The sequence below is a fragment of the Homo sapiens genome, chromosome 12 (genome assembly GCF_000001405.40).
Source record: "Homo sapiens chromosome 12, GRCh38.p14 Primary Assembly".
Classification (NCBI taxonomy): domain Eukaryota; kingdom Metazoa; phylum Chordata; class Mammalia; order Primates; family Hominidae; genus Homo; species Homo sapiens.
The window spans coordinates 120,370,683-120,384,339 of NC_000012.12; the positions used below are offsets into that span (position 1 = coordinate 120,370,683).

The 13,657-nt window shown below is 45.6% G+C and overlaps 1 pseudogene, besides 1 other annotated feature; it reads left to right on the top strand.

The window, feature by feature from the left end:
• Positions 673–1,013, top strand: RPS27P25 (ribosomal protein S27 pseudogene 25; annotated as a pseudogene).
• Positions 5,782–6,282: an enhancer, noted in NCBI's record as "H3K27ac hESC enhancer chr12:120814267-120814767 (GRCh37/hg19 assembly coordinates)". NCBI's record gives its function as "activates a minimal SCP1, AML or CMV promoter by ChIP-STARR-seq in primed H9 embryonic stem cells {active_cell/tissue: H9 hESC(primed)}" and the evidence as "EXISTENCE:reporter gene assay evidence [ECO:0000049][PMID:30033119]".

The following is a 13,657-nucleotide window of genomic DNA, read 5'->3' on the forward strand; positions in this document are numbered from 1 at the left end:
CTGCTGGGGGTCTCAGTGCCACACAAGCCCCTCCCTCCCAACTCACCTTCTACTCCTTCCCCCATCCCTACCTTAATCCATCCGGTGTAATCCAGTGACAACCCATGTTGACAAGCCCTTTGCTGTTCACCTTCACATTCCATCCTGAATTCAACACCTTTTATTCCTGGGCATCATAACTCTGACCTCTGGAAGGGTGCCCATCCCCCTCTTGATAGCCCTCCTTCCCTCTCCCCACCCCAACCATCAGGCAGAGAAGAAAGTGAGAGACTTACAGTAATGGTTTCCTTGGGGACCTTCTGGGAATGCTCAGCAGGTATATCCTGCCACCCTGTGAGCATAACACTAGAAACAAACTTGCTTTTTCCTGTTTGTGTCCCCTACTCTGCCCCACAGTTTCTCAGCATCCCCTGGACTGGGGACTGGAGGGCCACCCACACAAGGCATTTCTTACCATTCCGACACAAAAGCATTCCAGTTTGTGTTGTAGCAGAGACACAGATGAGGGTGAGCAGGTAGCCTCTGCGGTATTAGGGAGGTGACTCTTCTTAGGTCTGAACTTAAAAAGGGTCATTGGAGAGGTGCGGGGAGTAGGGATCTTCCAGTGTTCCTGGACTTTGGTTTGTGTGCTGGTGCTGCTGGGCAGATGAGCTTGAAGGATAGGAAATGGGTCCTTTCCGGCAGTGGCGACCTACCCACGAGAACATGCCTCTCGACAGGGATCTCCTTCATCCTTCTCCAGAAGAGAAGAGGAAACAGAAGAAGAAACGCCTGGTGCAGAGTCCCGATTCCTACTTCATGGATATGACATGCCCAGGATGCTATAAAATCACCATGGTCTGTAGCCATGCACAAACGGTAGTTTTGTGTGTTGCCTGCTCCACTGTTCTCTGCCAGCCTACAGGAGGAAAAGGAAGGCTACAGAAGGATGTTCCTTCAGGAGGAAGCAGCACCCAAAGCACTCTGAATCAAGATGAGTGGGAAACCATCTCAATAAACACATTTTGGATTAAAAAAAAAAAAGGAAATGGGTAAAGGCATCTGTTCAGAGTCAGCCAATGCTGTGTAAGAAGTAGCTTGAGATAGGATCCATGTATTAGCATATTCATTCAGAATCTGAGGAGGAAGCGTCTACCTCTTTTGGTCAGTAGCTTGTTTGTATCACAGTAACATGGGTTAGACTTAGACAAATCCTCTTTCAGTGCAGGTGTATCTCAGCTGCAGCAGCTTCAGTCCACTTTGTTCACAATAGGGGCGACAAGCCCTTCTAGAGGTAGCCCTCACAGGACAATGCAGTTGTAAACTCATGATCCTCATAGTAAATTGAGGATCTCAGTGGTATTAAGGAAAAATGATCTTTAGAGCAACAGGCCCAGACTTCAGAATTAAGAGATTAGAGGATGTGGTTCCAGCTCTTTTTCTCTGGTACTACACACACAGAACATCACTCAAAGAATAAAAGAAGAATTTGCTTTATAGTTTTTAAAAAATCCTCTTGAGAAAGACAGTGGGCAAATGATATTATGCAACTTGGCACAGGTATTTACCGAACATCTTCTATGTACTAGACACTGTCCTAGGTGTTGTAGTCCCAGCAGCTGCCTTTGTAAAGCTTGCATTCTAGAGATGAGAGTCATACAAGTAAATGAATGAATGAATGAGTCAATGAATGAATGAGTGAATGAATGAATAAACAATAGATAAATAAATGGTGTGTTCAGTTAGATGTTGTAGGTGCCACAGAGAAGGAAGGGTGATAGGGAGGGTGGGTACTATTGGGAAGAAGGTGAGATGAAATTTTATATATATATATATTTTTGAGATGGAGTCTTGCTCTGTCACCCAGGCTGCAGTGCAGTGGCATGATCTCGGCTCACTGCAATCTCTGCCTCTTGGATTCAAGTGATTCTCCTGCCTCAGCCTCCCCAGTAGCTGGGGTTACAGGCATCCACCATCACTCCTGACTAATTTTTTGTATTTTTAGTAGAGATGGGGTTTCGCCGTGTTGGCCAGGCTGGTCTTGAACGCCTGACCTCAGGTGATCTGCCCACCTCTGCCCTTGAAAGTGTTGGGATTACAGGCGTGAGCCACCACACCTGGCCTGAGATGCAATTTTAAATCAACAACATTCTCATGGGGAGGGAGACGTTTTAGCAAAGACTTGAAGGAGATGAGGTAAATGAGTCTACTCTATGATACAGAACTCTCATTTAAGCAGAATGTCTGCATCTCTTAAGTACAATGATAATTAACGTTCATATTTTGACTTTCACTACTCTAAAACTGTAGGTCAAGTGGACTAGGGGTGGATGGGGGCTCAGAAAATGGCAGTTTTTGAACAGACACCTCTATCAGATGAGAAGGCTGAGAGCTGAGGGTTTTCCTTGGCCACTCTTGGAGAAACACAGCTTTAAGATATATTGAAGAGCCTTTGAGAATGACAACAACAAAATTAAAGATTAAATTATAGTCCATGTGGTTTTAGCGTGCAGAGTATTTCACAGTGTTCTCATTCTTTGAAAATGCAATATTGGCCGGGCGCAGTGATTCACGCCTGTAATCCCAGCACTTTGGGAGGCCGAGGTGGGTAGATCACGAGGTCAGGAGTTCGAGACCACCTGGCCAACATGGTGAAACCCGGTCTCTACTAAAAATACAAAAATTAGCCTGGCGTGGTGGCGCACGCCTGTAATCCCAGCTACTGGGGAGACTGAGGCAGGAGAATTGCTTGAACTCAGGAGACGGAGGTTGAAGTGAGCTAAGATTGCACCACTGCACTCCAGCCTGGGTGACAGAATGAGACTCCGTCTCAGAAAAAAAAAGAACAAAAGAAAATGCAATATCCAAGCAAAGCCCTGAATTACCTGGAACTTCCCATTTCTTGTCCATGCAAGACAAGGAAAAATTTACTGTAAGCTGATTAAGAGCCATGCATTTATAATCAGCCCATTTTACAAACTTCCCCCACTTAAAAAAATATATATATATACCTATATATATATACTTTATTTTTTCTTTCTTTTTTTGAGGCAGGGTCTCACTCTGTTGCCCAGGCTGGAGCGCGGTGGCACGATGAGGGTTCACTGTAGCCTCAACCTCCTGGGCTCAAGCAGTCTTCCCAATGCAGCCTCCCAAATAGCTGGGACTACACATGCACGCCACCATGCCCAGCTAATTTTTGTTTCGTTTTGTTTTGCAGAACGGGGTCTAACTATGTTGCCCAGGCTGGTCTCAAGCTCCTGCACTCAAGCAATCCTCTGCCACCACGGCCTCCCAAAGTGCTGGGATTACAAATATAAGCCACTATGCCCAGCCTAAAAAGTAGACTTTATTTTTATTGAGGAGAAAGTACAGAGATTTCCCCATACCGCCTGACCCCACATGTGTGTAACCTTTCCCACTGTCAACATCCCCCACCAGAGTGGTACATTTGTTACAATTGGTGAACCTATACTGACACATTGTTATCACCCAGAGTCCATAGTTTAGAGTTCACTCTTGGTTTTATACATTCTATGGGTTTGGGCAAATGTATAAGGACATGTATCTCCCATTATACTGTCATACAGAGTAGTTTCACTGTCCTAAACATTCTCTGTGCTCCACCTATTTGTTCTCCCCTCCCCCAACCCCTGACAACCCCTGATCTTTCACTCTCCATAGTTTTCTCTTTTCAAGAATGTCATATAGGCCGGACGCGGTGGCTCACGCCTGTAATCCCAGTACTTTGGGAGGCCGAGGCAGGCGGATCACGAGGTCAGGAGATCGAGCCCATCCTGGCTAACATGATGAAACCCCGTCTCTACTAAAAATACAAAAAATTAGCTGGGCATGGTAGCGGGCGCTTTTAGTTCCAGCTACTCGGGAGGCTGAGGCAGGAGAATGGCGTGAACCCAGGAGGCAGAGCTTGCAGTGAGCCAAGATCGCCCCGTTGCGCTCCAGCCTGGGCAACAGAGCAAGACTTCGTCTCAAAAAAAAAAGAACGTCGTATAGCTTGAATCATACAGTAGTAGCTGTTTCAGATTGGCTTCTTTCACTTAGTAACACACAGTTAAGATTCCTCTATGGTGGCTTTTTTTGTGTGTGGGTTTTATTTTTTTGTTTCCTGGGTTTTTTTGCTCGTTTGTTTCGTTTGTTTGTTTGTTTGTTTGAGACAAGGTTTCACTCTGTCGCCCAGGCTAGAGTGCAGTGGCATGTTCAGGCTCACTGCAGCCTCAACCTCTCAGGCTCAAGCAATCCTCCCACCTCAGCCTCCCCAACAGCTGGGACTACAGAATAGCTGGGACTACAGGCACACACCACCGCCCCTGGCTAATTTTTGTATTTTTTGTAGAGACAGGGTTGCACCATGTTGCCCAGGCTGGTCTGGAACTCCTAGCTTCAAGTGATCCACCTGCCTCAGCCTCTCAAAGTGCTGGGATTACAGGTGTGAGCCACCTCGCCTGACCCCGTCTATGTCTTTCCATAGCTTGATAGCTTGTCTGTTTTTAGTGCTGCATAATAGTCTGTGCTCTAGATGTACCACGGTTTATGCATCCCTTCACCTCCTGAAAGACATCTTGGTTGCCTTCAAGTTCTGGCAATTATGATTAAAGCTCAGGTTTTTGTGTGGACATAGGTCTTCAGTCCCTCACTTTTTTGTCCTAATTTTTCTCTCTTTTTTTTTCCTTCTCTCAGATTTCTGGACTCAACCAGAAGGCTATGAGCTGGAGTAATGAAAGCACTTGACTGAGAGTCCAAAGATCCATATGCTGGTCTTGGGACTACCACTGTTTCTGGTCGGGTGGTTCTAGGGATACACCACTTAGCCTTCTGAGCTTCCATTTACTTTCGGAGTTGCTGCAAGACTTAAGTGAGATCATGTATTTGAAAGCACCTTAGACACTCTAAAGCACTATGGGAAAGTAAAGGTAGTCCATCAAAAGCACTATGGGGGTGCCGGGTGTGCTGACTCACGCCTGTAATCCTAGCATTTTGGGAGGCTGAGGTGGACAGATCACTTGAGGTTAGGAGTTTGAGACCAGCCTGGCCAACATGGCAAAACCCCGTCTCTACGAAAAATACAAAAATTGACCAGGCGTGGTGGCACATGCCTGTAATCCCAGCTACTGGGGAGGCTGAGGTGGGAGAATCACTTGAACCCAGGAGGCAGAGGCTGCAGCGAGCCGAGATCCTGCCACTGCACTCCCGCCTGGGCAACAGAGTCAGACTCTGAGCAATTATTGTGTCTCAGGCACTTTGCGTTGGGAAACTCATTCAATCCTTGCAACAGCTCTCTGAGGCAGGTCGCTATTTTACAGATCAGGAAATGAAAGCATTGAGAGGTCAACTTGCTAATAAAGATAAGACGGGTGGTAAGTGAGGGGGCTGAGATTTGAATTCAAGTCTGATACCAGAATTCCCATCATGCACTTCATCATGAACATAATTTTATGTTATCTACCTATTTAATGCACACACAATGCACCTATTATTACAGATGGTTCTGGAATGTCTGTTATGCTGGAATGGGAGCTCTCTAAGGGAAAGTCCCTTAAACCTCTTTGCATTCTCCTCCACCACCCCTTATCCTCAGGACCATACCTTACACTAAGTACTCAATAGTTGGTTTTTGTTTGTTTGTTTGTTTGTTTTTGAGACAGGGTCTCACTCTGTCACTCAGGCTGGAATGCAGTGGCATGATCTCGGCTCACTGCAACCTCTGCCTCCTGGGCTCAAAGGATCCTCCCACCTCAGCCCCCCAAATAGCTGCGACTACAGGCTCAAGCCACCACACTCAGCTAGTTTTTGTATTTTTTATAGAGACAGAGTTTTGCTATGTTGCCCAGGCTGGTCTCGAATTCCTGAGCTCAAGTGATCTGCCTGCCTCAGCCTCCCCAGGTGCTGGGATTACAGGCATGAGTCACCATGCCCGGCCTCACTAGTTGTGCTTGCCTAGAAACCATCACTGTGCTAGGGCTGGAGGATGAGATGGTGAATGAGACAGACAGTGATTCCTACTTTCACAGATGTGACAATCTGGAGACACAGTAGTTTTACATACATCTTTTTTGCCTAGGCTGGTCTTGAACTCCTGAGCTCAAGCGATATTCCCGCCTCAGCCTCCCAGAGTGCTGGGATTACATGCATGCACCACCACGCCTGGCTGATACACATCTTTTTAACCAAGTCATTTGAATCACTGCAATAATTAAATGTAGTAGGTTCTATTAATGTGCTTGCCTTACAGATGACGAAGCTGAAACTCAAACATCTGAAGTGACATGCCCAAGGTCATGCAGCTGGCCAGTCTAAAAATCTAGCTCTACCTGACCCAAACATTATGCTACACTCTGTCTCCATTCCCCACCCCCCGACTTTCCCCACTGCCCTGGCAGGGAGGGAATTAAATAAACTATTCTGCTTGCCCAGCTGAGAACACCCACAGTCTGTCCAGACCTGCTGACTCTCCCACTTTCTCACTTTCTCACTGTCGCTTCCAATGACAGCCAGGGCTGGTTTGATGTGTCGGTGAAAGGGGGGATGCTTCAGAGTTCTATGGTTTCAGCATCTGAAGTCACCTCTCTGCTGTAATTAACTCTGTGATTTAATCTGCTCAACTAATCATTCTACAATTCAGGGGCCAAAGACAAAGATGTTAAGAGGATGCCTCCTTTATGTTTTATTGTTTTTAATGTTTATTTTGGGAAACTGAAACTGTGGACCTGGAGAAGTGAAACCGCAGGTCTGTCAGTGCTGACGGTGGGAAAGGGGTGCCAGGCTGCAGGCAGGGGCTTCTCTTACACTTAGGCCAGACCTAAAGGTGAAGGGCTGGCTAGAGGGGAGGTTCTCATCTCTGAGCCCCATCTGGAGAACAAAGCACCCTCCCTAGAGCCCAGGTTTTCAGGGACCAGGGAAATAGTTTTTGGAGTTTGTGAACTTAGTGGAAAAAGTATTAGGGAGTTAGGAGCCTGGGGCTCCACCTCTGACCTTGAAACAGGCTCTTCCCCTCTCTGAGCGCTAGTTTATTCATGTGCAAAATGGAAAGTGGCATATTATTCCAGAGATGGAAAATTGGTTTCAGTTTTTCTACTTGGCCTCTCAAATTACCTCCAAAATGACTGGTAGTGGCTAGGGCTGGGCAAGGATAGAAATCGGGTGATTGATTAGTGATGTCTGCCTTGGTGCAGGTAGTCATGGAACAGTAGAAGGTGTGCTATAGCGTTGCCTTCTCTGGACTAGATGATCACTACATCCTTTCCAGTTTTGGTCTTCTAGAGACCTTACAACAAGAAGGGCAAGGATTAAGAGCTACGCAGCACCCCCAGGAGTCAGACAACCAAGGGAGGAACCATCAAAGTGACAATTTTATTAATAATGATAATACATGATTCTATATGTGGAGGAAAAGAATTTACATCAAACCATAAGCCATTTGCATCAAACCATTAATGTGGTGGGGAGGCGTGTGTGTTAGTATGAGTATGAATTTTTTCTGTGAGTATAGATTTATCTTAACAACCAGAAAACAGTAAAAACTGTTTAACGTGGTGGGGAGGCGTGTGTGTTAGTATGAGTATGAATTTTTTCTGTGAGTATGGATTTATCTTAACAACCAGAAAACAGTAAAAATAATTTAAATGAGTCTATTTAAAGACTGTTCAAGAACACTGATAGCAGCATTATTCATAATAAGCAGAAATTGGAAGTAATCCAAACGTCCATCAACAGGAGAATGGATAAACTATGATATATTCGTACAATGGAATACTATGTAAAATGAAAAGGGCCGGGCGCCCAACACTTTGGGAGGCCAAGGCGGGTGGATCACTTGAGGCCAGGAGTTCAGGACCAGCCTTGCCAACATGGTGAAACCCCATCTTTACTAAAAATACAAAAATTAGCTGGGTGTAGTGGCACAGGCCTGTAATCCCAGCTACTTGGGAGGCTGAGACAGGAGAATCACTTGAACCCGGGAGGTGGAGGTTGCAGTGTGCCAAGATCACTCCAAGATCACGCAACTGCACTCCAGCCTGGGTGACAGAGATTCCATCTCAAAAAAAAAGAAAAAAAAAAAAGAAAAAGAAAAAAAGACCATGCTTGGTGGCTCACGCTTGTAATCCCAGCACTTTGGGAGGCTGAGGTGGTCAGATTGCTTGAGGCCAGGAGTTCAAGACCAGCCTGGCCAACATCGTGAGACTGTCTCTACTAAAAATACAAAAATTAGCCAGGTGTGGTGGTGTGAGCCTGTGGTCCCAGCTACTGGGGAGGCTGAGGCAGGAGAATTGCCTGAATCCAGGAAGCAGAGATTGGAGTAAGCCAAGATCGAGATCGTGCCACTGCACTCCAGCCTGGGCAACAGAACAAAACTCCATCTCAAAAAAAAAAAAAAAAAACACACAAATGACAGATACATATAACAATACAAATGAATTTCTTTCTTTCTTTTTTTTTTGAAACAAAGTCTTGCTCTGTCACCCAGGCTGGAGTGCCTCCCAAGTTTTATATATAAATTTTTATATATAGCTAAAACCCAGATTAAGATACAGATCCATAAAAGTGACCACTCACCACGTGTGGCTACTGAGCACTTGAGATGCAGCTGGCCCAAACTAACCAGTGCTGTAAGTGCAAAATATACATTGGATATCAAAGAATGCAGAAAATGAATGTAAAATACAGTGATAATAATTTTACATTGATTACATGTTGAAACGTAATTTTTGAATATATTATTAAAATAAATTTCACCTGTTTCATTTTATGTCTTTTTATTTTTATTTATTTATTTATTTATTTTTATTTTTTTGAGATGGAGTCTTACTCTTTCACCCAGGCTGGAGTGCAGTGGCGCAATCTTGGCTCATTGCAACCTCCACCTCCTTCGTTCAAATGATTCTTCTGCCTCAGCCTCCCGAGTAGCTGCGATTACAAGCACCCACCACCACACCCAGCTAATTTTTGTATTTTTAGTAGAGACATGGTTTCACCCTGTTGGCCAGGCTGGTCTCCAACTCCTGACCTCAGGTGATCCACTTGCCTCGGCCTCCCAAAGTGCTGGGATTACAGGAGTGAGCCACCGCGCCCGGCCTTTATGTCTTTTTAATGTGGTTCCTAGAAAATTTTTAAATTACATATATGGTTTACAGCTGTAGCTGGCTTTTTTTTTTTTTTTTGAGACGGAGTCTTGCTCTGTTGCCCAAGCTGGAGTGCAGTGGCACGATCTTGTCTCACTGCAAGCTCCGCCTCCTGGGTTCATGCCATTCTCCTGCCTCAGCCTCCCAAGTAGCTGGGACCACAGGCGCCCGCCACCACGCCCGGCCAATTTTTTGCATTTTTAGTAGAGATGGGGTTTCACAGTGTTAGTCAGGATGGTCTCAATCTCCTGACCTCGTGATCCGCCTGCCTTGGCCTCCCAAAGTGCTGGGATTACAGGCGTGAGTGTAGCTGGCATTTTATTTCTATTGGGCAGCACTGATATTGAAGCTTTCCTTCCTCCAGAAAGTTATCTCCTGCTTCCAAGTCAATATCTGCTTCCCAAAGATAAATGCGACTATGACCTGTCTTCCCATAGATTAGTTTTGCCTGTTCCATAATTTCATATAAATGGAATTTTTGTATGTATTTTTTTGCATCTGGCTTCTTTTGCTCATACAGTTTGTTGTTGTTGTTGTTGTTGTTTTGAAACAAGGTCTCACTTTGTCACACAGGCTGGAGTGCAGTGGCATGATCTCGGCTCACAGCAGCCTTGACCTCAAGCAAGTTCAAGCGATCCTCCTGCCTCAGCCTCCTGAGTAGCTGGGACTACAGGCATGCACCACCATCCCCGGCTAATTTTTGTATTTTTCATAGAGATGGGGTTTTGCCATGTTGTCCAGGCTGGTCTCAAACTCCTAGGCTCAAGTGATCTGCCCTCCACCACCTCCTAAAGTGCTAGGATTACAGGCATGAGTCACTGTGCCCGGCCTCAACCTACAATTTTTGAAATTCATCCAAGCCGAGCATAGTGGCTGACACCTCTAATCCCAGCACTTTGTGAGGCCAAGGTGGGAGGATCACTTGAGGCCAGGAGTTCAAGACCAGCCTGGGCAACATAACAAAACCCCACCTCTACAAAAATATAAGAAAATTAGCCAGATATGTTGGTATGAGCCTGTAGTCCCAGCTACTTGAGAGGCTAAGGCAGGAGGATCTCTTTAGCCCGGGAGTTTGAGGAAACAGTGAACCATGATTGTGCCACTGCATTCCAGCCTGGGTGACAGAACAAGACCCTGTCAAAAAAGAAAAAAAGAAGTGAGAGTGAGAGTGATACTTTACAAAAAAAAAAAAACAGAAAAAATTAAAAGGGGAATAGGATGAGCGAGTGGAGATAGAGTAACAAAGGTAAAGAAGGATTGAGCTACATCTGGCCGGGTGCGGTGGCTCACACCTGTAATCCCAGCACTTTGGGAGGCCAAGGCAGGTGGATCACTAGCTCAGGAGATCGAGACCATCCTGGCTAACACAGTGAAACCCCGTCTCTACTAAAAATACAAAAAATTAGCATGGTGGCGGGCGCTTGTAGTTCCAGCTACTCAGAAGGCTGAGGCAGGAGAATGGCGTGAACCCGGGAGGCGGAGCTTGCAGTGAGCCGAGATCGCGCCACTGCACTCCAGCCTGGGCAACAGAGTGAGACTGTATCTCAAAAATAAAATAAAACAAAATAAGAAAGGATTGAGCTACATCCGTGAATCTATTTCCACCAGCAGAGAAATTCACCACGGCTCAGCGTCCCCAAGACTGGGTGAGAAAATCACAAAAGATCAAATTTGGCAGAAGCTAATCAAGAGTTTACTTTTTGGTCTCAGCATCATATCCCAATTTTTTAGTGTGTCACATGTAACATGTAACTAATAACAACAAAGTAGATATTGACAACTTTACTGAGCCCTTACCATGTACAGCATGGTGCTAAGAGCTTTCCTGTCTGATCGCATTTAATCCCCTCTACAGTCTTCTAAAGTTAGTTCTATGATGATCCTCCCATGTTGTAGATGGGGAAACTGAGGCTCAGCAAACTTACCCAAGGATACTACACTCAGAAATGGCAAAGAGGGGATTCAAAGGCAAGTGTCTCTGGTTTCTGGTCTGGTATTTTTAACCACTACCTCTACTGAAGCTTGAGAATGCTTTCTTTGCCTTAAATAAATAAATGAAGAAGAAAAAGAAATAAACAAATGAGGAGAAGTGGAGTCAAGGTTATGTCTATAAATAACGTCACTCTTGCTCCCTGGCCTTTGGACAAGCTCTCCAGAGGGAGAGAGGAAGAGCTGGGGTTACGCAGAATTCAGACTATCTTATCTGAACACCATGGAAGCATGAGTCACGTGGGAATGCCATTCATCAGGAGTGTCCCAATTTTAAAAAGGTTGAGAAAGGCTGCCTTGGAGAGCCTCTGATGCCCCCCTCTTGCTTTATGGATAAACTTAGAGATCCAAAGAAAGAATTATTTTTCCCAAGGTCACACAGCTAGTACTCAGCGGCTACATCTTTGCCTCTTCTCTTCTCAGTGAATGAATCAAATGTGCCTTTTCCACCGTGTCAGGTACTCTGGAGGTATCCACACCTGAATAAGGCTTGCTGACAGTTCTTGAGGCATTTACGCTCCAGTAAAGGGACAAATTATATCCCAAAGCAAAGTATGAGAGCCTTAAGAGAGCTTTGGAAGCTCAAGGGAGGGAGGGAGTACAGTGGGTTGGAGAGGAAAGGGAAGGCTGGCATCTAAGCTGGGTCGGAAAAGCAGAAACAGAGAAGTGGGCACTCCTCAAAGGAGAGCCAGTGGGTACTTGTGTTGGCTGAACTGTGTATTTACCACCGGCCCAACTATTGCCTCTAGTGTCCACCATGATGTTGAGTCAACATTAAATTATTGGTTAACTGATGCAGAATAGAACTCATTCAGGGTGGTTTCGGGGGCAGAAAAAAAATTAAATTAAAAAACTCATTTGGCCAGGCTAGGTGGCTCACGCCTGCAATCTCAGCACTTCGGGAGGCCAAGGTGGGCGGATCACCTGAGGTCAGGAGTTCGAGACCAGCCTGGCTAACCTCATCTCTACTAGAAATACAAAATTACTGGGCATGGTGGCACATGCCTGTAATCCCAGCTGCTCAGCTGCTCGGGAGGCTGAGCCACAAGAATCAGTTGAAACTGGGAGGCAGAGGTTGCAGTGAGCTGAGATTGCACCACCGCACTCCAGCCTGGGCGACAGAGTGAAATACCATCTAAAAAAAAAAAAAAAAAAAAAAAAAAAAAAACTCATTCATCAGAAATGCAGAGATAAAATTAGCTGAGAGTGGTGTGCATGTCCCTGTAATCCTAGCTAGACAGGAGCCCAAGATAGGAGGACCACTTGAGGTCAGGAGTTCAAGACAGAGCAGCCTAAGCAAAAGACTGAGAACCCCACCTCTACTAAAAATAAAAGATTAGCAGAGTATGGTGGCTCATGCCTTGAGTATGGTGGCTCCCAGCCACTTGGGAGGCTGAAGTGGGAGGATCCCTTGAGTCCAGAAGGTAGAGGCTGTAGTGAGTTATGATTGCTCCACTGCATAAATACAGACAATGTGTATTTGTGTGTGTATATTGTAATGTCTGTGTATCCCGAGGTCATATGCTTCTCAAAAGAAAGGACTGTTAGCCAGGCACCGTTACAAACACCTAGGCAACATAACAAGACTCTCACCTCTAAAAATAAATAAATAAATAAATAAATAAATAAATAAATAAATAAATAATAAGGACTGCTTTCTTCTTGTTCCCCATTATGGCTGGCACATAGCAGGCATTCTTTACATCTTGGCTGAATGAACAAATAGGTAAATTGTGGGGAAGACACATTGGCCCCTTTAAGCCTTAAGAAATAATAACCAGCTGGGCGTGGTGGCTCACGCCTGTAATCCCAACACTTTGGGAGGCTGAGGCGGGCAGATCACGAGGTCAGGAGTTCGAGACCAGCCTGGCCAATATGGTGAAATCCTGTCTCTACTAAAAATACAAAAATTAGCCGGGCGAGGTGGCATGCGCCTGTAATCCCAGCTACTCGGGAGGCTGAGTCAGGAGAATTGCTTGAACCTGGGAGGTGGAGGTTGCAGTGAGCCAAGATCGAGCCATTGTACTCCAGTTCTGGGCGACAGAGCAAGATTCTGTCATGGGAAAAAAAAAAATTAGCCTGGCATGGGGGCGGATGCTTGTAATCTCAGCTGTTCAGGAGGCTGAAGCAGGAGGATTGCTTGAACCTGGGAGGCAGAGGTTGCAGTGAGCAGAGATTGCACCATTGCACTCCAGCCTGAGGGACAAGAGTGAAACTCCGTCTCAAAAAAAAAAAAAAAAAAAAAGGCTAAGTGTAAGGCTCACACCTATAAACCCAACACTCTGGAAGGCCGAGGTGGGAGGATTGCTTAAGGCCAGGAGTTCGAGACCAGCCTGAGCAACAAAGGGAGACTCTGTCTCTACAAAAATTTAAAAATTAGCCAGGCATGGTGGCACTTGCCTGTAGGCCCAGCTACCCGGAAACCTGAGGTGGGAGGATCGCTTGGGCCCGGGAGATCAAGGGTGCGGTGAGCTATGATCGTGCCACTGCATTCCAGCCTGGATACCAGAAGAATACCCTGTCTAAAAAAAAAAAAAAGGCTGTTAAGACTT